This window comes from Homo sapiens, chromosome 2, assembly GCF_000001405.40.
Source record: "Homo sapiens chromosome 2, GRCh38.p14 Primary Assembly".
NCBI classification, from domain to species: Eukaryota; Metazoa; Chordata; class Mammalia; order Primates; family Hominidae; genus Homo; species Homo sapiens.
The window spans coordinates 3,787,763-3,813,613 of NC_000002.12; the positions used below are offsets into that span (position 1 = coordinate 3,787,763).

General features: G+C 41.3%; 1 protein-coding gene across 9 annotated transcripts in view, besides 3 other annotated features; it reads left to right on the plus strand.

The window, feature by feature from the left end:
• The window catches only part of DCDC2C (doublecortin domain containing 2C), a 144,434-nt gene that overhangs the window by 84,188 nt on the left and 34,395 nt on the right, over positions 1-25,851 (plus strand). Inside the window, exon 11 of one of the 9 annotated variants that reach the window (XM_017004836.3) lies at positions 5,148-5,803. The exons of 6 other annotated variants lie outside the window; for them this stretch is intronic. In XM_017004836.3, coding sequence (XP_016860325.1) covers positions 5,148-5,186 — 39 coding nt within the window. In that variant the 3' untranslated portion in view covers positions 5,187-5,803. Of the gene's footprint in view, positions 1-645; positions 1,969-5,147; positions 5,804-25,851 lie in introns of those variants that run through there. 2 more of the 9 variants (XM_017004837.3, XM_047445727.1) reach the window with 2 other exon arrangements.
• Positions 11,725-12,268: an enhancer, noted in NCBI's record as "NANOG-H3K27ac-H3K4me1 hESC enhancer chr2:3847077-3847620 (GRCh37/hg19 assembly coordinates)". NCBI's record gives its function as "activates a minimal SCP1, AML or CMV promoter by ChIP-STARR-seq in naive and primed H9 embryonic stem cells {active_cell/tissue: H9 hESC(naive and primed)}" and the evidence as "EXISTENCE:reporter gene assay evidence [ECO:0000049][PMID:30033119]".
• Positions 12,269-12,810: an enhancer, noted in NCBI's record as "NANOG-H3K27ac-H3K4me1 hESC enhancer chr2:3847621-3848162 (GRCh37/hg19 assembly coordinates)". NCBI's record gives its function as "activates a minimal SCP1, AML or CMV promoter by ChIP-STARR-seq in naive and primed H9 embryonic stem cells {active_cell/tissue: H9 hESC(naive and primed)}" and the evidence as "EXISTENCE:reporter gene assay evidence [ECO:0000049][PMID:30033119]".
• Positions 19,335-19,504: an enhancer, noted in NCBI's record as "experimental_58341 CRE fragment used in MPRA reporter constructs". NCBI's record gives its function as "activates a minimal promoter by MPRAs in K562 erythroleukemia cells, with activity observed for both the introgressed and non-introgressed 2:3854772 variant alleles {active_cell/tissue: K562}" and the evidence as "EXISTENCE:reporter gene assay evidence [ECO:0000049][PMID:34662402]".

Here is a 25,851-nt window from a genome sequence, read left to right on the forward strand (position 1 = left end):
TTCTTCAGGACTGTTTTCCATTTTAAATTTACTTTTTGTGTAGAGTATTAAGAAGGTTGAAACTTGTCAAATAATAGAAAATTCTATCTTAAGAAATACTAGGAATCAGTATTGAGGATATTTTCAACATTTTAGGTTTTTTTCTCAGTATACTTCAGAATATTGGTTTTATATATTTGAAATAGATTTAAATGTTTTTGAGCAGAGCTGCCATTCACTTTAAAAACAGCAACAACAAAACAACAGGCATCATGTACTTACAAGGAATTTTTCCAGATCTATGTTGCAAGTGTTGCTTCCTGGATGTCATCTGCTCTGAATATTTGATCACAAATCAGAATTTAAAAAGGAAGTTTTATTTTTTCTTCTGAACAAATATTCAATTTGATTTCTCACTGGCTATTTTTTTGACGATAGTGACAAATAGATTTAAGAGAAGAAAAGTAAACAGATTGAATAATTATCCACTAACAGATTTTAAAATGTAAACTACAATCTTAAATCATGAATCTAAATGTTGAACTATCCTACTTCCATCCTGTATTGGACAGATAGTAACTTTCTGAAATATAACACCCACAAAGAGCATTCAGAATACACCGGGTGTGTAGTTTGCTGTTTTCATTTTATGTTTTTGCACCATAGATTATAATATGAACATATCAGTCACTTCTGACAGCCAAGCAGCACGACAGGATGCCGTAGTGACAAGTTCCAGGTGCAACGTGTATAAGAAGATAATTGTGACATTTTTTCCCCCCAAAGGCTTCAGAAATCAAGTATAATTTTGATCAACAATAAATGTGCTATTAGTTAAAAAAAAAGTACCTAACATAAGATTTTTAGTATTTGTAGTCATTGATTTGTGACATGGTCTATCTGGGTGCACTTTGTAAGTTTCAGGACAATGTTATGCGTGATCCTATCAAAGCAAAGTCCTTTTAAATGCATGTTGGAGGCAACATTCACAGCCTGTTAACGTCCTTTGTTAAATGTTTTTCTTCCTTTCTTCCGTTTCCCTTTCTTCCTCCCTTCCTTCCCTCCCTTCCTCCCTTCCTGCCTTCCCTCCCTTCCCCAACCCTCCCTCTCTCCCCCCAACCCTCCCTCCCTCTCTCTCTCTTTCTTTTTCTGAGACAGGGTCTCCCTCTGTCACCTGCAAGCTCCGCCTCCCACGTTCAAAAGATCTCATGCTTCAGCTAACTGAGTAGCTGGGATTACAGGCATGGCACGTGTGCCGCCATACCCAGCTAATTTTTTTTTTTGTATTTTTAGTAGAGAAGGATTTCACCATGTTGGCCAGGCTGATCTTGAACTCCTGACCTCAAGTGATCCACCCACCTCAGCCTCCCAAAGTGCTGGGATTACAGACGTGAGCCACTCTGCCTGGCCAAATGTTTTCAATGTGATGGAAAAATAGTGGGTTTTGTCTACCTTTGAAACATTTATGTTTTAGCCCATTGGAGAAACAAGAGTGAAAAACTGCCAAGCACCACACAAAACTCCACGTGGCATCCAGAGGCCTTTTTCCTGCCCTATTTCCAGACTTCCTTTGAACTGAGGACTGGCTCCTGTGCTTCTCTTGAAGAAATGCCTTACAGTAAATAGTACCAATTCTCATCATTGCTCAACTTTATACTGTATTTATTTATATTTATGACTTGATCTTTCACTCTTTTTCTAATGCCATGCCTCTAATTGTTCTGTGAGTCACCTGTCTCAAGAAACAATTACTCATTCTGGTCATCTGTTAATGCTCTCATCCTTCAGGAAGCATACTATTATAATCATGTCATTTTCAAATACTTTGCCTTTTTCCAATTATCCCCCAAGTTATTTTGTGTTTGCATTCAAGTTTTCAACAACTCTCCATTGGATGGTTAATTTTTTCCTACTAAATGCTCCCTTTATGTGTGGAGCACATCTGCTTATATGTCTCCTTCTTTCCTGTCCAGGGGTACTGATTGCTCAGAATTTCTTAACTAACTAAGCCTGGGCATTCTAGGGTTAAAGAAAGAGAGATTTGATCCTCTTGTGGCTTTTAGGCTTTGGTGTTTCATGTTTTTGAAAACTAGGAAATTTTTGACTTTGGGTGGAATCATAATGACAAGAACATAAGAAAATAGAACATAGTGGGTAACTTCATAACAGTGGTTATAGAACAGGAGTTATCTATGATTGATTAACGTTGTGTGCTGTTGCATGCTTATTTTCTTACAACAAAAAGAGAGTCATGTCTATTTTGCTTTTTAGTCTTCTTGTCTTTATGACTGTACCTCAAATCATAGTGTGCTTAGAAATTCATTGAGGATTGAAATCCACCAGACTGACGAAGGGTCTTGAAGGAGATAGGTCTTCCCAAGGAGGCTCTCGTGCTTCAGGTGCTCTACAGAAGCTGAGAAACTGTGCGCCTTCTGCCAGTGTTTACCCAGAATGCCCCAGATGAGAGCAGGTGAAAAAAGTGAGTAGTTGATTTGCTACTAGCTATTAGACAAGTGATAAAACAGTGCAGCCTCTTTAAATGATCAAAGTGGTGGTTTATATCAATTGACATAAATAATATTTAAGTGATTTGACATGCTTAAGACATGCTAAGCTCAGAACGTCAGCCATTTTCCATCGCCTGCAGCTACTGATGAAAACACCATTTCAGCATCTTACTGAAGTGAAATGCATCCACAGATCCATAACAATCATTTCCTCTCCTTGTGTGCTTTCTCAATCAGTGGAGGGTTTTCATTTAATTAACATTGCCAGAAATGCCAATAAAACCAGGATCCAGCATTATCTCTGACTCAGGATTTTTGCAACAAAATGACAATGGCATTGATTCATTAATTGATTTTTAAAATTAATCGCCTGCCCAGTATCTTTACTGTTTTTTCTCTTTATTATGTTGATACTACTCCATCACCACAGCTAAGTCTTTTATTGCTTCTCTAAGAGACAAGGTCAATAGCAATCAACATTGGAGTCTCAAAAGTGAAGTCTAAGGTCATTAGTAATGCTAAGTGGTGTCGTGGTGAAATATTAAGCAATGAAACTTTTAGAAAATTATTTGGTTCTAGGCCGGGCGCGGTGGTTCATGCCTGTAATCCTAGCACTTTGGGAGGCCAAGGAGGACAGATCACGAGGTCAGGAGATCGAGACCATCCTGGCTAACATGGCGAAACCCCGTCTCTACTAAAAATATAAAAAAAATGAGCCAGGCGTGGTGGTGGGCACCTGTAGTCCCAGCTACTCGGGAGGCTGAGGCAGGAGAATGGCGTGAACCCGCGAGGCAGAGCTTGCAGGAGCCGAGATCGCGCCACTGCACTCCAGCCTGGGCCACAGAGTGAGACTCTGTCTCAAAAAAAAAGAAAATTTTGTGGTTCTAGAAGTAGAAAGCTTGTATCCCTCTATACATAGGAGATTCATTTGGACTCAAATAATAGGAGAAAGATTTTCACTTAAAAACAGAAAAGATGCTCTGGGCAGTGCTCTTCATGAATAAAACACAAGGTATTGCATTGGCATTTTATAAGAGGCAGTCATGGATGAACCAATCGCCTTTTCGTGTGGTGGGCTCCACTCTTCATTAATCAAACACACGGTATTGCATTAGCGTTTTATAAGAGACAGTCACGGATGGACCAATCGCCTTTTCGTGTGGTGGGCTCCATGGAAGCAGTTTTGTTGTATTCACGACAATTTTAGAAATCACAACTAGGGTCCTGAAGAAGGAAATGAAATGGTTCCAGTCTAGCCTGGAGAAGTAGCAAGTGAACAAAGATCAGCGGATGCAGGTCAGTTTTCACCGCCTTGCCTTCCATCTTGGAAGCTTCCCTACTTTCCTCCTGGTTGCTAGGCTGAGGACTCAAATTCTCATCCTCTTTCCCTCTCCCCAGTGGACTTGGATTTGCTTCCCAGCTTCCCCGGGGGCCTGATGACCCTCACACCTCTCCAGCACTGTGTTGTTTGCAGTGGCCTGGGTGCCATGCCAAGGCTGGGCCAGCACTCTTCCTCCCCTCCCGCCGGCAGAATGTCTTCTCCTCTAAGCCACCCTGTGGGCAGGGTGCAGGATCCAGGCAGTACTCTCATGACACACCGCCACAGGGCATTCTGTGTCCCTCTGGTATATTCAAACTTATTTTTGACCTTGACAGTGAAAAGGAAAGGAGATGAGATGAAGCTCGGTGTTCAGGGAGCACCCAATTCCTCAGTAGCCTTTGGCCATTCATTTATTAGTTCATTTTTTTTTTAATTCACCAGTTATCCACAATATTATCTGTTACAGAAAATTGGTTTTAAGCAGATAGACAAAATTCTTACTTTGGGACATCTGCTATGACATAGACAAAGAACAGTGATGGGATTTTGCTGTGAGCAAACTCTTAATTAAAAGTGTCAGTGTAGGTATCTCCCGTGGGGTTAGAGGACATTAAAGTAGTTCATAGAACTTGATGCCTGCCTTGTAACGCCTAAGCAGCAGGAATAGGCCCTGGAGAAAACAGAAACAGTCCCTGCTAGTTCAGCCGGATGGTCTTCTCTGAGCTGTGCATCCAGCCCCTGGTGTCTGGGGCTTCAGATTCCATTTCTGTTCTCCACGAGTGGCCCCTTGTCCTACTTCTGTTGGCCTCAGGTTGGCAGGTGTTTATTAAAATATGACCACATAATGCACAAGCCATTGTAGTCACAAAAGGAAAGTATTTTATTTGTATTTACTTGGTTTTCCCCATGAGTTACAGAGATCCTCTCTGTAACTTTTAAGATATATGAATTATTTCAAATTATAATTATATATATAGTCAATTTACGATGTTTCTGCAAGGTACCAAACAAGCTGGAGTTTAGGTTGTGGTAACATAGACCTGGTTGTAAATATAAATTTTGGACACAAAAAGTAACATTTCAAATTTTCATTTCTGGGAAGGCTTAATGAGAAATCCTTATTGGCTGCTTACACCACACTCTGTGAGGGTACTTTTAGGGGAATTTATTACTTGGTTACCCTAAATTGACAGCCATATTTTGGAGAAAAATGTGTCTTCTCCGATGAGCAATTTAAGGAAAGAAAATCAAACGTGAAGAGGAAAGGGACTTGAAAGTCCACAGACACTTTGAATTGACAAATGAGATTGTTCAGGGGCCTTTTTTCTTCATATCTTCAGGGAACCTGGCAGCTTTTCCCCAAGACAAAGCCAATGTGAGAAGCATCTGGGAGTTTTAACTCAGAACTGAGATTCGCCGTTCAGAGTACATGGAGATTCCATCCATAAGGTCGTATAATTTCCGTTCAAGGCAAGGCATTTGTTTCTCGTTTGTTCATCTTCAGGATTTGTCTTTATTGATCTTTGAAGGAGGGGTATCCACGGCGTTGCAAAAAAGAGGTCCATAAATACAAACTCGCATTTGCTGTTTGTAAATAGAATGAAAAGTAAAAGACAGGCCTTAAAAAAAGTTGTAGTATACCCAAACGCAAATTTACACCTTGATTTACACTTAAGAATACATTTCACAAATTGGTAAATATTGTAGGCACAGATTGCATATGAACTTGACAAGCCGTCTGTATACTTGGGATGGACGAAAATGCTCCTAAACATCCTTCAGTGCCGCCTTCTGCATCGGAAGCCTGTGCAGCATTCTTGCCACATGACTTTGTCACTGCTGTCCAAATGTGTGTCACATACTCTGTGCACCTGCAGCTGACAAATGCGCCTGTGCCAGATGGCCTGGCTCCCTGTCCTGCTGTCCATCAGCAGAATGGACTGAGTCTGTGGGATCTTACAATTCTGAGCCAGAAACACCACTGGAAATTATTCCTCTCCAGTGCTTTTGTATGAATGGAGGGGAAATGGAAGTGTCTCTTTGCTAATATCAATACTGTAATTTAAAAATGTTCAGTCATTTCTCTGTTACAATAGAAATGTTTTAAATGAATTCCAAATAGCAGGCATCCAGTGTCTATCAGGCACGCCACATTCTATGCCAGGTTCAGACACAGATGCAGCAAGGTGTAGACCAGGTCACTGCGTCTAGGCTGCTGTGCTCCTCAGAGACAAGAGGCTGTGCAGAAAGGTGGTGGGTGTGGGGGCAGAGGCCAGGTCATGGGCAAGGGGGCTTGAAGCATGTTTTTAATGCAGTCTTTCTATTTTTGCTTGTGATGTATAAAAATCTCACATAAATATGTACTTGAAAAAGAGAGGAATATTTGAATAGACTTTGTTGATAATTGTGGATATTCTTTGGTACTACACCAAAACTTGACAAGTGATAGTTTCTTAAAGGTTAGTTACAATGTGGAATCAGAACCCATATCAATGAACTTTTTATTCCCTGTTACATTAAAATCTATTGTTATATTCTGTACTTTGAATGCATTTTTACCCATGCAGCATTTTACAACATGATGCATTGGTCATTTGGAAAATATTGGTTCATTGAGTTATGCAAATGTTCAATGAGTTATGCAAATGTATGACACATTTAATTATACAATACTTAAAAAATCACATGCATTAATATTTTCATCAACATCTTTAGAAAAGACTTTTAGTATTGTGACACTGTCAAACACATGTGCATGTTTTGCAAATTTGAAGTTTTTTATTATTATTTTTAAATTTATTTATTATTATTATACTTTAAGTTTTAGGGTACATGTGCACAATGTGCAGGTTAGTTACATATGTATACATGTGCCATGCTGGTGCGCTGCACCCATTAACTCGTCATCTAGCATTAGGTATATCTCCCAATGCTATCCCTCCCCGCTCCCCCCACCCCACAACAGTCCCCAGAGTATGATGTTCCCCTTCCTGTGTCCATGTGTTCTCATTGCTCAATTCCCACCTATGAGTGAGAATATGTGGTGTTTGGTTTTTTGTTCTTGTGATAGTTTACTGAGAATGATGATTTCCAATTTCATCCATGTCCCTACAAAGGACATGAACTCATCCTTTTTTATGGCTGCATAGTGTTGCATGGTGTATATGTGCCACATTTTCTTAATCCAGTCTATCACTTTGGACATTTGGGTTGGTTCCAAGTCTTTGCTATTGTGAATAATGCCTCAATAAACATACGTGTGCATGTGTCTTTATAGCAGCATGATTTATAGTCCTTTGGGTATATACCCAGTAATGGGATGGCTGGGTCAAATGGTATTTCTAGTTCTAGATCCCTGAGGAATCGCCACACTGACTTCCACAATGGTTGAACTAGTTTGCAGTCCCACCAACAGTGTAAAAGTGTTCCTATTTCTCCACATCCTGTCCAGCACCTGTTGTTTTCTGACTTTTTAATGATTGCCATTCTAACTGGTGTGAGATGGTATCTCATTATGGTTTTGATTTGCATTTCTCTGATGGCCAGTGATGGTGAGCATTTTTTCATGTGTTTTTTGGCTGCATAAATGTCTTCTTTTGAGAAGTGTCTGTTTATGTCCTTCGCCCACTTTTTGATGGGGTTGTTTGTTTTTTTCTTGTAAATTTGTTTTGAGTTCATTGTAGATTCTGGATATTAGCCCTTTGTCAGATGAGGAGGTTGCGAAAATTTTCTCCCATTTTGTAGGTTGCCTGTTCACTCTGATGATAGTTTCTTTTGCTGTGCAGAAGGCTCTTTAGTTTAATTAGATCCCATTTGTCAATTTTGTCTTTTGTTGCCATTGCTTTTGGTGTTTTAGACATGAAGTCCTTGCCCATGCCTATGTCCTGAATGGTAATGCCTAGGTTTTCTTCTAGGGTTTTTATGGTTTTAGGTCTAATGTTTAAGTCTTTAATCCATCTTGAATTGATTTTTGTATAAGGTGTGAGGAAGGGATCCAGTTTCAGCTTTCTACATATGACTAGCCAGTTTTCCCAGCACCATTTATTAAATAGGGAATCCTTTCCCCATTGCTTGTTTTTCTCAGGTTTGTCAAAGATCAGATAGTTGTAGATATGCGGCGTTATTTCTGAGGGCTCTGTTCTGTTCCATTGATCTATATCTCTGTTTTGGTACCAGTACCATGCTGTTTTGGTTACTGTAGCCTTGTAGTATAGTTTGAAGTCAGGTAGCGTGATGCCTCCAGCTTTGTTCTTTTGGCTTAGGATTGACGTGGCGATGCGGGCTCTTTTTTGGTTCCATATGAACTTTAAAGTAGTTTTTTCCAATTCCGTGAAGAAAGTCATTGGTAGCTTGATGGGGATGGCATTGAATCTATAAATTACCTTGGGCAGTATGGCCATTTTCACGATATTGATTCTTCCTACCCAGGAGCATGGAATGTTCTTCCATTTGTTTGTATCCTCTTTTATTTCATTGAGCAGTGGTTTGTAGTTCTCCTTGAAGAGGTCCTTCACATCCCTTGTAAGTTGGATTCCTAGGTATTTTATTCTCTTTGAAGCAATTGTGAATGGGAGTTCACTGATGATTTGGCTCTCTGTTTGTCTGTTGTTGGTGTATAAGAATACTTGTGATTTTTGTACATTGATTTTGTATCCTGAGACTTTGCTGAAGTTGCTTATCAGCTTAAGGAGATTTTGGGCTGAGACAATGGGGTTTTCTAGATATACAATCATGTCGTCTGCAAACAGGGACAACTTAAATTCTTCTTTTCCTAACTGAATACCCTTTATTTCCTTCTCCCGCCTAATTGCCCTGGCCAGAACTTCCAACACTGTGTTGAATAGGAGTAGTGAGAGAGGGCATCCCTGTCTTGTGCCAGTTTTCAAAGGGAATGCTCCCAGTTTTTGCCCATTCAGTATGATATTGGCTGTGGGTTTGTCATAGATAGCTCTTATTATTTTGAAATACGTCCCATCAATACCTAATTTATTGAGAGTTTTTAGCATGAAGGGTTGTTGAATTTTGTCAAAGGCCTTTTCTGCATCTATTGAGATAATCATGTGGTTTTTGTCTTTGGTTCTGTTTATATGCTGGATTACATTTATTGATTTGCGTATATTGAACCAGCCTTGCATCCCAGGGATGAAGCCCACTTGATCATGGTGGATAAGCTTTTTGATGTGCTGCTGGATTCGTTTTGCCAGTATTTTATTGAGGATTTTTGCATCAATGTTCATCAAGGATATTGGTCTAAAATTCTCTTTTTTGGTTGTGTCTCTGCCCGGCTTTGGTATCAGGATGATGCTGGCTTCATAAAATGAGTTACGGAGGATTCCCTCTTTTTCTATTGATTGAAATAGTTTCAGAAGGAATGGTACCAGTTCCTCCTTGTACCTCTGGTAGAATTCGGCTATGAATCCGTCTGGTCCTGGACTCTTTTTGGTTGGTAAGCTATTGATTATTGCCACAATTTCAGCTTCTGTTATTGGTCTATTCAGAGATTCAACTTCTTCCTGGTTTAGTCTTGGGAGAGTGTATGTGTCGAGGAATTTATCCATTTCTTCTAGATTTTCTAGTTTATTTGCGTAGAGTTGTTTGTAGTATTCTCTGATGGTAGTTTGTATTTCTGTAGGATTGGTGGTGATATCCCCTTTATCATTTTTTATTGCGTCTATTTGATTCTTCTCTCTTTTTTTCTTTATTAGTCTTGCTAGTGGTCTATCAATTTTGTTGATCCTTTCAAAAAACCAGCCCCTGGATTCGTTAATTTTTTGAAGGGTTTTTTGTGTCTCTATTTCCTTCAGTTCTGCTCTGATTTTAGTTATTTCTTGCCTTCTTCTAGCTTTTGAATGTGTTTGCTCTTGCTTTTCTAGTTCTTTTAATTGTGATGTTAGGGTGTCAATTTTGGATCTTTCCTGCTTTCTCTTGTGGGCATTTAGTGCTATAAATTTCCCTCTACACACTGCTTTGAATGCGTCCCAGAGATTCTGGTATGTTGTGTCTTTGTTCTCATTGGTTTCAAAGAACATCTTTATTTCTGCCTTCATTTCGTTATGTACCCAGTAGTCATTCAGGAGCAGGTTGTTCAGTTTCCATGTAGTTGAGCGGTTTTGAGTGAGATTCTTAATCCTGAGTTTTAGTTTGATTGCACTGTGGTCTGAGAGATAATTTGTTATAATTTCTGTTCTTTTACATTTGCTGAGGAGAGCTTTACTTCCAAGTATGTGGTCAATTTTGAAATAGGTGTGGTGTGGTGCTGAAAAAAATGTATATTCTGTTGATTTGGGGTGGAGAGTTCTGTAGATGTCTATTAGGTCCGCTCAGTCCAGAGCTGAGTTCAATTCCTGGGTATCCTTGTTGACTTTCTGTCTCATTGATCTGTCTAATGTTGACAGTGGGGTGTTAAAGTCTCCCATTATTAATGTATGGGAGTCTAAGTCTCTTTGTAGGTCACTCAGGACTTGCTTTATGAATCTGGGTGCTCCTGTATTAGGTGCATATATATTTAGGATAGTTAGCTCTTCTTGTTGAATTGATCCCTTTACCATTATGTAATGGCCTTCTTTGTCTCTTTTGATCTTTGTTGGTTTAAAGTCTGTTTTATCAGAGACTAGGATTGCAACCCCTGCCTTTTTTCGTTTTCCATTTGCTTGGTAGATCTTCCTCCATCCTTTTGTTTTGAGCCTATGTGTGTCTCTGCACGTGAGATGGGTTTCCTGAATACAGCACACTGATGGGTCTTGACTCTTTATCCAATTTGCCAGTCTGTGTCTTTTAATTGGAGCATTTAGTCCATTTATATTTAAAGTTAATATTGTTATGTGTGAATTTGATCCTGTCATGATGATGTTAGCTGGTTATTTTGCTCGTTAGTTGATGCAGTTTCTTCCTAGTCTCGATGGTCTTTACATTTTGGCATGATTTTGCAGCGGCTGGTACCGGTTGTTCCTTTCCATGTTTAGTGCTTCCTTCAGGAGCTCTTTTAGGGCAGGCCTGGTGGTGACAAAATCTCTCAGCATTTGCTTGTCTGTAAAGTATTTTATTTCTCCTTCACTTATGAAGCTTAGTTTGGCTGGATATGAAATTCTGGGTTGAAAATTCTTTTCTTTAAGAATGTTGAATATTGGCCCCCACTCTCTTCTGGCTTGTAGAGTTTCTGCCGAGAGATCTGCTGTTAGTCTGATGGGCTTCCCTTTGAGGGTAACCCGACCTTTCTCTCTGGCTGTGCTTAACATTTTTTCCTTCATTTCAACTTTGGTGAATCTGACAATTATGTGTCTTGGAGTTGCTCTTCTTGAGGAGTATCTTTGTGGCATTCTCTGTATTTCCTGAATCTGAATGTTGGCCTGCCTTGCTAGATTGGGGAAGTTCTCCTGGATAATATCCTGCAGAGTGTTTTCCAACTTGGTTCCATTCTCCCCATCACTTTCAGGTATACCAATCAGATGTAGATTTGGTCTTTTCACATAGTCGCATATTTCTTGGAGGCTTTGCTTGTTTCTTTTTATTCTTTTTTCTCTAAACTTCCCTTCTCACTTTATTTCCTTCATTTCATCTTCCATTGCTGATACCCTTTCTTCCAGTTGATCGCATCGGCTCCTGAGGCTTCTGCATTCTTCACATAGTTCTCGAGCCTTGTTTTTCAGCTCCATCAGCTCCTTTAAGCACTTCTCTGTATTGGTTATTCTAGTTATACATTCTTCTAAATTTTTTTCAAAGTTTTCAACTTCTTTGCCTTTGGTTTGAATTTCCTCCTGTAGCTTGGAGTAATTTGATCATCTGAAGCCTTCTCTCAGCTCGTCAAAGTCATTCTCCGTCCAGCTTTGTTCTGTTGCTGGTGAGGAACTGCGTTCCTTTGGAGGAGGAGAGGTGCTCTGCTTTTTAGAGTTTCCAGTTTTTCTGCTCTGTTTTTTCCCCATCTTTGTGGTTTTATCTACTTTTGGTCTTTGATGATGGTGATGTACAGATGGGTTTTTGGTGTGGATGTCCTTTCTGTTTGTTAGTTTTCCTTCTAACAGACAGGACCCTCAGCTGCAGGTCTGTTGGAGTACCTGGCCATGTGAGGTGTCAGTCTGCCCCTGCTGGGGGGTGCCTCCCAGTTAGGCTGCTCGGGGGTCAGGGGTCAGGGACCCACTTGAGGAGGCAGTCTGCCCGTCCTCAGATCTCCAGCTGTGTGCTGGGAGAACCACTGCTCTCTTCAAAGCTGTCAGACAGGGACATTTAAGTCTGCAGAGGTTACTGCTGTCTTTTTGTTTGTCTGTGCCCTGTCCCCAGAGGTGGAGCCTGCAGAGGCAGGCAGGCCTCCTTGAGCTGTGATGGGCTCCACCCAGTTCGAGCTTCCCAGATGCTTTGTTTACCTAAGCAATCCTGGGCAATGGCGGGCGCCCCTCCCCCAGCCTCGCTGCTGCCTTGCAGTTTGATCTCAGACTGCTGTGCTAGCAATCAGCAAGACTCCGTGGGTGTAGGACCCTCCGAGCCAGGTGCGGGATATAATCTCGTGGTGCGCCGTTTTTTAAGCCCGTTGGAAAAGCGCAGTATTCGGGTGGGAGTGACTCGATTTTCCAGGTGCCGTCTGTCACCACTTTCTCTGACTAGGAAAGGGAACTCCCTGACCCCTTGCGCTTCCCGAGTGAGGCAATGCCTCGCCCTGCTTCAGCTCGCACACGGTGCGCGCACCCACTGACCTGCGCCCACTGTCTGGCACTCCCTAGTGAGATGAACCCGGTACCTCAGATGGAAATGCAGAAATCACCCGTCTTCTGTGTCACTCACTCTGGGAGCTGTAGACCAGAGCTGTTCCTATTCGGCCATCTTGGCTCCTCCCTCTGCAAATTTGAAGTTTTTTGAATGCTCAAATTTTATTGTTCAACCCAAACACTATCAGTTGTTTTTATAGACATAATAGCCTCATTCTGGGAGAATGCCTGCCAGCCCCCCAAGAATTAGCAACTATAGTTTGTAGGTTACTTATTCTTTCAAGTAAAGTAGTTCCATGAAACAAGTGTCTAGTTCAGCTTGCAATGTGCACAATCACATAAGTGCTTTTTCTTGAGATAATCGTGTGGCTTCAATGCGCACCAGAAGTGCTTCATGAGTTCTTCTCATTTCCTTACACAGGATATTACAAAGGTCATGTGCTCAAGGTCAGTGTTTAATAACATTCATAGTTTTCATTCCTTCATGAAGGACATTTTAAGTGACATTGGCATTTTCTCAAACACTGCAAGTGTGTTGAAGTGAGTGATTTGGTGGCAGTGAGTACGGCTGGGAGCAGTGGCTTTGATTAGTCCTCAGGCACCCATAGCTTTACCTGCCATTGTTTTTGTAGCGTCAATGCAAATGCCACACAGGGAAGGAGGCCAATGACTCTTAGTACTATGATGAGCATAGTTTTGACCTCACTGACCCCTGGAAGGAGAGGCAAATGACTCTTAGTTCTACAATGAGCATAGTTTCAACTTCACTGATCCCTGGGAGGTTCTATAGATCCCCCAGGAATCCACAACCACCTTTTGGGAAGTTGTGCATGAGATGAGGATGGTGGTGATAGCATTTACATTCACAGAATGAAAACAGTCACTTTCAACAACAGTATCGCATCCCAGCAGGACTCACTGAAGGAGGAGTTCCTCAAGCTCTTGCTAATATCCTTGAGTACCAGGTTGTGGACAGAGGTATTGCAGAGCAGGGCGAGAGCAGGTCTGTGCCGCTTCCTGGCTCTGTGACCTATGTACGTAACCTGTCCCAGGCCGTGGCCTTCCTCATTCTTCTGCAAGGGTGACAGCACCCTGAAGGGCTGCTGGGAGGGGTGCATAAGATGAATCCATGGTGAGTGCTGGGCACAAAGGAAGAACTCAGTCATCATTAGCTGTTGTCATTGTTTGAGAAATTACAAGAGAAAATATTAGAAGTAGAACACATTTCTTAATGTTTATGAGTCAGAAATTAAGAAGAAAAAATCTCTAAAACTGTAACACATCAGTAGAAAAATGACAGTTGTATTTATATGTTTAGGACAAAAGGGATCAAATCCCTGTGGAAAGCTGTGTCCACTTAGCATCAGAGTCTTGGCCTGGGTGGCCCCTGGCCCGGAGCCCAGCACAGAGCCTGAGCTTGTGGGCTCCCTGTTAACTGCTCCTTGGCTTCTGTACTGGGAGCTTACAGACTCCTCCGAGGCTGAGATGCCTGCCTTTCCCTGCAGCATGCATGCTGACCCAGCTCTGCTCAGTGCATCTCCTTTTCTGATCACGGTTCTCCAGATACCCTCTGCCTCCCTCAGGACTCCTGGGCTCCCAGCCCTGGGCTGACGGGACACTACTGGGGGTAGCCCACTTTGAGGTTCAGCTGTCCTTGTTGACCCTTCCTGGAAGGGGAGGCAGGAACTCTTGGGCTTCAGCTGAGCTTTTCCTTCCTCAGTGTCCCATCAATGTCATGTTCCTAAGTTCTTGATGGAAATGCTATGTGAGATCAATTCAGAAGAACTCCCCTAGGAAAGAGGTCATTTGTTTTTCCTGTGTGGAGATGAAGTGAGTGTGGTTTGTCGTTCATGGAAAGTTATGCTTAGTCCCCAAGCCCTTGATGCTGTTCAAGGCAATTCTCCAAATAAACTGCTGCCATGTCATCCCTTTCTTCTATCTTTAGCCAATCCTGGGGTTGCTGTAAGTAAATAAAAGCTGTCCTTCAACGCCTTCTGGCAATTTTTCTGAACTCTGGGGTGAAAGTCAGGTACTGCAAACAGTGTAGGTTTGACTGTTTCAGCCTTGGAAAGATGTTGAGATGGCCTCTTGCTCAGCATTCCAGGTGTGGTTAACCTTTAAGTTAGATGGCTTCTTTCAGCCCTGGAGGTAAACAAGTTCCCCTTTGTTTTGTCTATAGCAAAACACTTGGGGACACTGAGTATAGGCTGCTATAGCAGAATACCATAGAGTTGCAGGCTTAAAAACAACAGAAATATATTCCCTCCAGTTTGGGAGGCTGGGAAGTGTAAGGTCAGGGTGCTGGCAGGCTCGGTCTGAGGAGGGCTTGTTCCCTGGTTAATAGATGATGGCTTCTTCCTATGTCCTCATGTGGTGGAAGGGGCAAATCAGCTCTCTGGGGTCTCTTCTAGAAGGGGCTGATCACCTTCCAAAGGCCCAGCCTCCTAATATCATCACTTGAGGGGTTAGGATTTCAACACATAAATTTTGGGAGAAGACGAACTGTTAGATCCTTCTTTCCTAAATGACCCATCTCCATTTTCCTCTCAAAAGTCTTCATTCCTTAACTCTCAAGGGTCCCTGGGCCTCTGTCTATCCTGCCTTGTTAGTGTCATGAGTCTTCCCTACTCTCTCAGGACTTTGGTTCTACTCACCAGTCAGCAGAGGCATCATCCACTTTGAAAAGCTGTTCCTGGCCTTTCCAGCATATGTACCTACCATCTTGTTTTCCCACCTATATTCATGTATTGACCTAAAATAGTTATTGTCATTTGCTTTGTGACTAGTTCCATGTGAAGATGTCTTTCAGTTGCTTTTCCATGCCAATAGTTGATATATAATAATTTTACTTTCTCCCTATTTTCTCATCAGCCCTTGAGATGTGGCTCTACCCCTGATATTCTCGTGTTGCCTTTCTTTCTCGTAATCTTTCACCTTTAATGGTTGAATTCAGTGATGATTTCATTATCTACTCTATCCTTGTAACCTCTGGGTTTTTTTGTTTGTTTGTTTTTGTATACTGCTTGTCCATCTGTTGGACTCAAACTCCTCCATTCCTCAGTGTGACACGCCCTTGTTCACATCTCAGTGCTGGCTTCTCCATCTTGGCTCCAGTCCCAAGCACAGACCTTGCGTCCTATCTTCGTGGGTTCTCCTCCTCACTGCTTCACTTTGTGGGTGGGTTTACCCTGAAGACTCTGAAAATAATCTCAGTTGTCTTGTTTGTCCCACTTCTGTTTCCAAATGCTATTTCAGTCCCTTTTCAGTGAAACCTCTGCTAACTTTGATTTTTGCTTCTGCAGCATGCAGTCTGAACTTAGGTCTTTATGTGCCTCTGCATTTCCATTTCAAGATGCTGCTTCATCTCAAGTCCAGTGTCCTAAGCCAGCAGACACCTTCGTCCTCTTCTCCATCAATCACGCCTTTGTTCTCTCAGCTGCTCAGGCCCTCGAGGCCTGAGCCTGGTATTCAGTGCCTCCCTTCACTGCACACCTGTTTCCAGCCAGCCATTCTGCAGGTTCCTTCAAGTGCACCACGTCCTCCCTCTCCCTTCTCATGGCCTCAGCACTGGCTGGTGCAGGTCAGCCCCTGGCTTTGCACTCTTCTGACTTCATGTACCCTTGCATGCAGGTGACTCTTCCGTGTTTTCCCCTTTAATTATGTCACTGCTCTGTTTGAAACCTGTATTGTCCCCACCTAAGTCTGATGTGTTCTGTGAAACTATCTCGACCACTCCAAACTTTGGTAGCTTCTGAAATCCTGAAAAACTTGGTCTGTATTAACATAATTGGAGGTATGTGTTTACAATTTATTCATTATCCCCTCAGTATGGCTGCAAGTTCTCTGAATGCAGAGACCACACCTTATATTTCCCTGGTAGCCAGTGACGCTGACCTGCAGAGCCCTGGTCATAGAGTAGGTACTCAAAAGGTAATTGGTGATTGGCTGATATTTGACATTTGCAGGAAGTTTAAAACCAGGATCTGGATCTCTTTAGTTTTCAGCCTCTGCAATGGAAATTTTCCTCTATTTTTAGAAAAGAGCTCTATTTTCCTTTGTTCTTCCTTTGTGCCTAATGTATTGAAGAACTATTTTCTATTCTGCCTCATGCCTTGCCCATTATTTCATTTCCTGCTTTTAATTTCCTAGTTTCTGATTCTGAAGAGCTCCACTTTAAAGATGACAGTCAATTCATAAAGGAAGGACCTAGTAGTCCTCCTCCTCAAATGTTTTTTAGAAACATTTTATTGTCATGCTTACACTTGATTTTTCTAATTATTACATTATCATCAATATTTACTGAAGTCTTATCTTACTGATAAATGATTTTGATAATCAAAAGTAAGCATTTTGATTTAAAAAGATCTCATTTCCTTTATCCTATAGAAAAGGAAATGATTTCTCTGTTGAATGCATGCATGATGCATAAGGAAGAGTGATTAGTTGTTATAACAGACATGGTCTTCACATAATTTCAGAGTACTTCTACCCGTGCTGCACTCGTAACAAAGGAAGTCTTTACAGTGAACACTTTACTGTGACCAGCTCTTACCCCCATTCTGGCCTCCTAAACCATGGTAATGCGGATTGAGGAAAAGTGCACCTTCTATTGAATTATTGGTGCCATTTCCTTTCTAGGTCTATTTTGTCAAGACTAGATTTTTACTTATACCTTAGAAATATAAACTAAAGTAGGAGATGAATGTGAACACTGATGTATGTAGCATTACCTTCTGTTTTCCCTTTATTGATAACCTGGATAACTGAAAATCAAGAAAATTGCCAAATATCCTCACCTAATTGAAATGTTGCCTTCCCTCAGCTACAAGAATCATGTGCAGGGCCAATGACAACTGACACTTTTTACTCCCTCTGTCCAGTCTCTAGAAGGCAGTGTGGTCAAGAGAAAGTGGAAGTTGCAGACAGTTAATTCAGAAACTGCATGAAAGGTCCAAGTAATTTAGGGCGAACCATGGAGAGAGGTGCTATTCGAATCCGGCAGCAGCTCCCGGCTGGCACTCGGGGAAACCTGCCAGGTTGATGAGTCCGACCCCTGGTGGTGGAGAAAGGCTCAGAGTGTGATTGACAATGGATAGGATTGACAGCGGATAGGAGGAAACACCCAGCAACTTCATTCTCTCATTGCCATACTGAGTCGTGTGTGTGACTGAGGTGGATGTTTCTGGAGAATCTATTTCTTCAGTGGTAAATGGAGCAAAGTCTAAAGAGGGGCTTTATTAGTGCTGCCTTGCATCAGCTGCAGTGACCCTTGAAAAAACAGCAACAAATAATGTGTCACCTTGTGCCTGTATTTCCAGTCTAGTGCTTCTGTGAAATGTTTCACAGCGTATTTTATGACATTTTAAAAGAAGTAATTAGGTTTTCGCAAATACGTTTTTAGTGTTTAATTTTAGAGGTGGTGATTAGGACTTACGAATTGTTTACCACATGCTTCGGATGATGCTGCATGCCAAACTGAATGGTTTTAGTGAGAACAGTGTGATGAAATGCAAATGCAGCAATGCTTCACTTGTCTCATTTTTAAGCAACGATGTTTTGCAAAAGTGAAATTTTCATATATCTGATGTCCCTGTGATTAATCTACAATTACTTCATTTTTATTTTTTGAGACAGGGTCTTGCTCTGTCAACCAGGCTAGAGTGCGGGTTGTACTGCACCCTCAGACTCCCCAGTAGCTGGTACTACCAGCATGTGACACCATGCCTGGCGAATTTTTTGTTGTTTTGTTTTGTAGGGATTAGGTCTTGCTGCATTGCCCAGGCTGGTCTTGACCTCCTGGACTCAAGTGATCCTCCTGCCTTGGCCTCCCAAAGTGCTGGGTTTACAAGTGTGAGCCACCATGCCTGGCCTTCAGTTCATTTGTAAAGTCCTGTTCCCTGATGAATCGGTCATGATTTTGCACTTCATGACTCCCTTTGCTGCATTGTTTGATGCTTTCAAGGACGGCTGGCATCTGGGGTTTTGTCTTGTTCTAAACGGCTCCAGCCTGCTGTGCTTTCTGCAGTGTTTTGGTCTCTCCTCTCCCTGGAATCCCCACGGTTGCTACTGGTGTGCTTCTATCAGCTTCCCTCACCCGTTTCTGACAGGTGACTTCTGTTCTGCAGCAGAGAGGGAAACAGAGCGAAGCTCGCCTGTGTTCTGTGAGTGCCCGCGTTGTATGAGAGCCTGCAATGTGTGAGTAGAGACCCATCTCTTGAAATCCTCATTGACAAAGTGCATGAGCTTCAACACGTGGGCTTGTGATGTATCTTTGAGTGTCTTTTTTTTTTTTTTTGAGATGGAGTCTCTCACCGTCATCCAGGCTGGAGTGCAATGGCGTGATCTCAGCTCACTGCAACCTCCGCCTCCTGGGTTCAAGCGATTCTCCTGCCTCAGCGTCCTGAGTAGCTGGGATTACAGGCACGCACCACCATGCCTGGCTAATTTTTTTTTTTGTATTTTTGGTAGAGATGGGGTTTCACCATATTGGTCAGGCTAGTCTCCAACTCCTGACCTTGTGATCCGCCCACCTTGGCCCTGCAAAGTGCTGGGATTATAGACCTGAGCCACTGCGCCTGGCCCATCTTTGAGTTTCTTTGTTGCTCGTGACTGCTTTCTGGGTAGGTGATGCTTCCAGGCATTGTGATTTTCAGTTGGGTGAGGTGTTGCGACGGAGTCCTTGGTGAATTCCTGGACTGCGTTCTGAAGATGACTGGCGTTGGGGTGGTCTTGCATAGGCTCTGCTTGCCCCAGCCAGCACCTTGGTTGTCCAGCTCCAGAGTGTATTATCTTGGGACTTTTTTTTCTTCAGAAAGCTATTTTTTTTTTTAACAGCATGAGGATATAATTTACATCTGCTTGAACTTGAGGGGTTTTGGCAAATGTATACAAATATGTAATTGTGGTTAAGGAGAGCCGGGATCTTCCCTATCAGATTGGGCATCTCAGCCTTTCTGCGCTTTCTCACTTCCAAATTTCCCCCCTTGCCTTTCTAGATGCTCAGCTGCTTACACAGGCATCTGCTGCCTTGAGCAGAAAGGCTGTGGTTTTTGGCAGCTGCAGCAGGGGTGGGCGAAGTGTGCCCAGGCAGGGGGCTGGAGGTGTATAGCTCTGTAAAGTCTGTAAACAGTCGACTCTTCCTGTGTTGCTGTGTTGTTCTCTTCTCTTGGGAGTTTTCAAGGGCCTTCATGGGTGCTTTCAATACTTGTAATAATTTTATTCAGTTTTATGATTCTCATATGCAGGAGAATCACCCAGACCACCACTTCATGCCACCCTTTCCTTCTTGGGTCATTTTATCTTCTTTTTAAAAATTGAGCTATAATTTATACACAGTAGAATGCATCCTTCTCGGTGTCCAGTTCCAGGAGTTTTGGGAACACACAGTCATATAACTACCAGCATAGTCAAGGTATGGAACAGCCACCATCCCCCAAATTCTCTTGGGCCCCTCTGTGGTCACCTCTCTATTCCCATGCCACCCCCATGCCCTGGCAGCCATTGGTCTGTTTTCTGTCCCCTGGTTTTACCCTTTTCAGAGTGTCATAGGCTGGAATTATGGAGCATACGCGCCTCTGTCACTCACTGTGGTTCGTGGGAGGTTCACCCATCTGTGTGCACAACAGCTCATTCCTGTCAATTGCCTAGTAGTGCTCCATTTTACGGTTGTACCAGAACTAGTTTATTCATTCCCCATTGAAGGACATTTGGGTCCAACTTTTGAATATTTTAAAAAGAGCTGCTATCCATTGATGTAAAGGTTGTGTAATACCTAAGAGTGGGATCGCTGAGTCATGCAGTGAATGCATTTTTCACTGTGTAAGAAGCTGGCAAACTTTTGCTAAGCAGCTGTATATATAGTTTTGCAACTGTACAGTGGATGGAAGTGAATGGAAGTTTCAGGTGATCTGCAGCCTCACCAGCAGCTTTCTTTATCAATTAAAAACATTTTTATTTAGTAATTTGTCTTGGAGTTGTATTTCATTTGTGATTTTACTTTGCATTTCCTTAATAACTAATGACATTGCGCATCTTTTCATACGCTTATTTGCCATTCACATTTCATCTTTGGGGACCTGTTTGTTTAATGGATTGTTTCCATTTTGTCACGTTTTGAGAGCTCTGTTTGAAAATTCTTTTTTTTTTGAGATTGGTTCTCGCTCTGTTACCAGGCTGGAGTGCAGTGGCGTGATCTTGGCTCACTGCAACCTCTGCCTCCCAGGTTGAAGCAATTCTCCTGCCTCAGCCTTCTGAGTAGCTGGGATTACAAGGGCACACCACTACACCCAGCTAATTTTTGTATTTTTGGTAGAGACGGGGTTTCACCGTGTTGGCCAGGATGGTCTCGATCTCCTGACCTGGTGATCTGCCTGCCTCGGCCTCCCAAAGGAAAATTACTTGTCAGATGTTTTGCAAATGTTTTTTGCCAGTATGTGGCTTGTCTTCTCATTCTCTTAACATTGTATTTGAAGAGCAGAAGCTTTTAATTTTGAAGTCCAATTTATCAATCTTTTCTCTCACGGATTGTGCCTTTTGTGTCCTTTCTAAAATTTCTATGCCTAACCCAAAGTCTCAAAGATTTTCTACTGTTTTATTTTGGAAGTTTGGTTTTATGTTTTACATTTATGTCCAGGACCCATTTTGAGTTAATTTTTATAGGTAGTGCAGTGTAGGAATGAGGATTTTTTTTTAAATTTTGCATATGAATTTCTGATTGTTCTTGTACCTTCTGTTGAAAAGAACTACACTTTCTGCTTTAAAGTTACTTGCATTTTTTATAACCAGCTAACCATATTTGTGTTGGTTTGTTTCTGGACTCTATGTTTATCCCATTGATCTATGTGTTTTTCCTTTCACCAATATGAAGCTTTCTTGATTACTGCAGTTTTGAAATCAGGTTATGTGAACCTCCAATTTTATTCTTCCTTTTCAACATTGTTTTGAGCTATTTCAGATCTTTTGCTTTTACAAATAAGTCAGCGTTAGATGTGACTTGTCAATTTCTGTAGCAATCCTGCTAGTATTGATTGGGATTCCATTGATCTATAGATCAATTCAGGGAGAATCTACATGCTAATGATATTGGGTATAAAATACCATGAACATGTTCTATCTCTCTATTTATTCATGTCTATTTTTGAAATGAGTGTTTTGTAGCATTTAGTATCCTGACCTTTTCTAAATCAGATTTATGCATAAATATTTTGGTTTTGTAGCTATTGTACATGGCACTTAAAATTTACATTTCCTATTGTTTATTGCAAACATATAGAAAAACTATTGACTTTTTTATATCGACCTGAATCCTGAAATCTTGATGAGATAAGCTCATTGATGAGTTCTGGTCGCTTTTTAAAATAAATTTCTTCTAGAAAAAAATGGGATACATGTGCAGAACATGCAGGTTTGTTACACAGGTATACATGTGCCATGGTGGTCTGCTGCACCTATTGACTTGTTCTCTAAGCTCCCTCCCCTTACCCCCAACCCCCAACAGGCCCTGATGTGTGTTGTTCCCCTCTCTGTTGTCCATATGTTCTCATTGTTCAACTCCCACTTATGAGTGAGAACATGTGGTGTTTTGTTTTCTGTTCCTGTGTTAGTTTGCTGAGGATGATGGCTTCCAGCTTCATCTATGTCCCTGCAAAGGACATGATCTCATTCCTTTTTATGGCTGCATAGTATTCCTTGGTGGATATGTACCACATTTTCTTTATCCAGCTTATCATTGATGGGCATTTGGGTTTGTTCCAAGTCTTTGCTATTGTAAATAGTGCTGCAATAAACATACGTGTGCATGTTTCTTTATAGTAGAATGACTTATATTCCTTTGGGTGTATACCCAATAATGGGATTGCTGGGTCAAATTATATTTCTGGTTCTAGATCCTTGAGGAATCGCCATACCGTCTTCCACAATGGTTGAGCTAATTTACATTCCCACCAACAGTGTAAAAGCATTCTGATTTCTCCACAGCCTCACCAGCATCCCTTGTTTCCTGACTTTTTAATAATTGCCATTTGGACTGGTGTGAGAGAGTATCTCATTGTGGTTTTGATTTGCATTTATCTGATGATCAGCGATGTTGAACTTTTTTCATGTATTTGTTAGCCACATAAATGTCTTTCGAAAAGTGTCTGCTCATATCTTTTACCACTTTTTGATGGGGTTGTTTTTTTCTTGTAAATTTGTTTAAGTCCTTGTAAATTCTGGATATTAGACCTTTGTCAGATGGGTAGATTGCAAAAATTTTCTCCCATTCTGTAGGTTGCCTGTGCACTCTGATGAGTATTTCTTTTGCTGTGCAGAAACTCTTCTAATTAGACCTCATTTGTCAATTTTGGCTTTTGTTTCAATTGCTTTTGGTGTTTTAGTCATGAAGTCTTTGCCCATGCCTGTGTCCTGAATGGTATTACCTAGGTTTTCTTCTAGGGTTTTTATGGTTTGGGTTTTACATTTAAGTCTTTAATCCATCTTGAGTTAATTTTTGTATAAGGTATAAGGAAGGGGTCCAGTTTCAGTTTTCTGCATATGGCTAGCCAGTTTTCCTACCACCATTTGCTGAACAGGAGATCCTTTCCCCATTGCTTGTTTTTGTTGGGTTTGTTGAAGATCAGATGGTTGTAGACATGTGGTGTTATTTCTGAGGTCTCTGTTCTGCTCCATTGGTCTATATGTCTGTTTTGGTACCAGTACCACACTGTTTTGGTTACTGTAGCCTTGTAGTATAGTTTGAAGTCAGGTAGTGTGATGCCTCCAGCTTTGTTCTTTTTGCCTAGGATTATCTTGGCTATGCAGAGTTTTCTTCAATTTCATATGAAACTTAAAATAGTTTTTTCTAATTCTGTGAAGAATGTCAATGTTAGTTTGATGAGAAGGGCATTGAATCTATAAATTACTTTGGGCAGTATGGCCATTTTCACGATATTGATTCTTCCTGTCCATGAGAATGGAATGTTTTTCCATTTGCTTGCATCCTCTCTTATTTCCTTGAGCAGTGGTTTGTAGTTCTCCTTGAAGAGGTCCTTCACGTCCCTTGTAAATTGTATTCCTAGGCATTTTATTCTCTTTGTAGCGATTGTGAATGGGAGTTCATTTATGGTTTGGCTGTCTGCTTGTGTATTGTTGGTGTAAAGAATCCTTGTGATTTTTGCACATTTATTTTGTATCCTGAGACTTTGCTGAAGTTGCTTATCAGTTTATGGAATTTTTGGGCTGAGATGATGGGGTTTTCTAAATATACAGTCATGTCATCTGCAAACAGACACAATTTGACTTCCTCTTTTCCTATTTGAACACACTTTCTTTCTTTCTCTTGCCTGATTGCCCTGGCCAGAACTTCCAATACTATATTGAATAGAAGTGGTGAGGGAGGGCACCCTTGGCTTGTACTGGTTTTCAAAGGAAATGCTTCCAGCTTTTGCCCATTCAATATGATATTGGCTGTGGGTTTGTCATAAATAGCTCTTATTATTTTGAGATATGCTCCATCAATACCTTGTTTATTGAGAGTTTTTAACATGAAGAGATGTTGAATTTTATCAAAGGCCTTTTATGCATCTATTGAGATAATCACATGGTTTTTATATTTGGTTCTGTTTATGCGATGGATTATGTTTATCCATTTGTGTATGTTGAACCAGCCTTGCATCGCAGGGAGGAAGCTGACTTCATTGTGGTGGATAAGCTTTTTAACGTGCTGCTGGATTTGGCTTGGCAGTATTTTATTGAGGATTTTCGCATCGATGTTAATCACGGGTATTGGCCTGAAGTTTTCTTTTTTTGTTGTGTCTCTTCCCGGTTTTGGTATCAGAATGATGCTGGCTTCATAAAATGAGTGATGGACTCCCTCATTTTCAATTGTTTGGAGTAGTTTCAGAAAGAATGGTACCAGCTCCTCTTTGTATTTCTGGTTGAATTCAGCTGTAAATCCATATGGTCCTGGGCTTTTTTTTTTTTGGTTGGTAGGCTATTAATTACTGCCTCAATTTCAGAACTTGTTATTGGTCTATTCAGGGATTCAACTTCTTCCTTGGTTAGTCTTCAGAGCATGTATGTGTCTAGGAATTTATCAATTTCTTCCATGTTTTCTAGTTTGTTTGCATAGAGGTGTTTATAGGATTCTCTGATGCTAGTTTGTATTTCGGTGGGGTCAGTGGTGATATCCCCTTTATCATTTTTTATTGTGTCTATTTGATTCTCTTCTCTTGTCTTCTTTATTAGTGTAGATAATATTCTATCATTTTGTTAAGTTTTCAAAAAACCGGCTCCTGGATTCATTGATTTTTTGGAGAGTTTTTTGTGTCTATATCTCCTTCAATTCTTCTCTGGTCTTAGTTATTTCTTGTCTTCTGCCACCTTTTGGATTAGTTTGTTCTTGCCTCTCTAGCTCTTTTAACTGTGATGTTAGGGTATCGATGAGTTATTTCAGGCTTTCTGATGTGAGCATTTAGTGCTATAAATTTCCCTCTTAACACTGCTGTAGCTGTGTCCCAGAGAGTCTGGTACATTTCCTCTTTGTTCTCATTGGTTTCAAAGAACTTCTTGATTTCTGTCTCAATTTCATTATTTGCCCAGGAGTCATTCAGGAGCAGGTTGTTCAATTTCCATGTATTTGTGTGCTTTTGAGTGAGTTTCTTAATTCTGAGTTCTAATTTGATTGCACTGTAGTCTGAGAGACTGTTATGATTTCAGTTCTTTTGCATTTGCTGAGTGTTTTACTTCCAATTATGTGGTCGATTTTAGAATAAGTGCTATGTGGCACTGAGAAGAACGTATATATATATATATATATATATATATATTTTTTTTTTTTTGCTGTTTTTGAGATGGAATCTTGCTCTGTCTCCCAGGCTGGAGTGCAGTGGCATGATCTCAGCTCACTGCAACCTCCACCTCTCGGGTTCAAGCGATTCCCTTTCCTCAGCCTCCCAGGTAGCTGGGATTACAGGCATGTGCCACCATGCCTGGCTAATTTTTTGTATTTTAATAGAGATGGAGTTTCACCATGTTGGCCAAGATGGTCTCGATCTGACCTCGTGATCTGCCTGCCTCAGCCTCCCAAAGCGCTGGGATTACAGGCGTCAGCCACCAGGCCTGGCCAAAGAATGTATATTCTGTTGATTTGGGGTAGAGTGTTCTGTAGACATCTGATAGGTCCACTTTATCCAGAGTTGAGTTCAACTCCTGAATATCCTTGTTAATTTTCTGTCTCGTTGATCTGTTTAATACTGACAATGGGGTGTTAAAGTCTCCCATTATTATTTTGTGGGAGTCTAAGTCTCTTTGTAGGCCTCTAAGAACTTGGTTCATGAATCTGGGTGCTCCTCTATTGGGTGCATATATATTC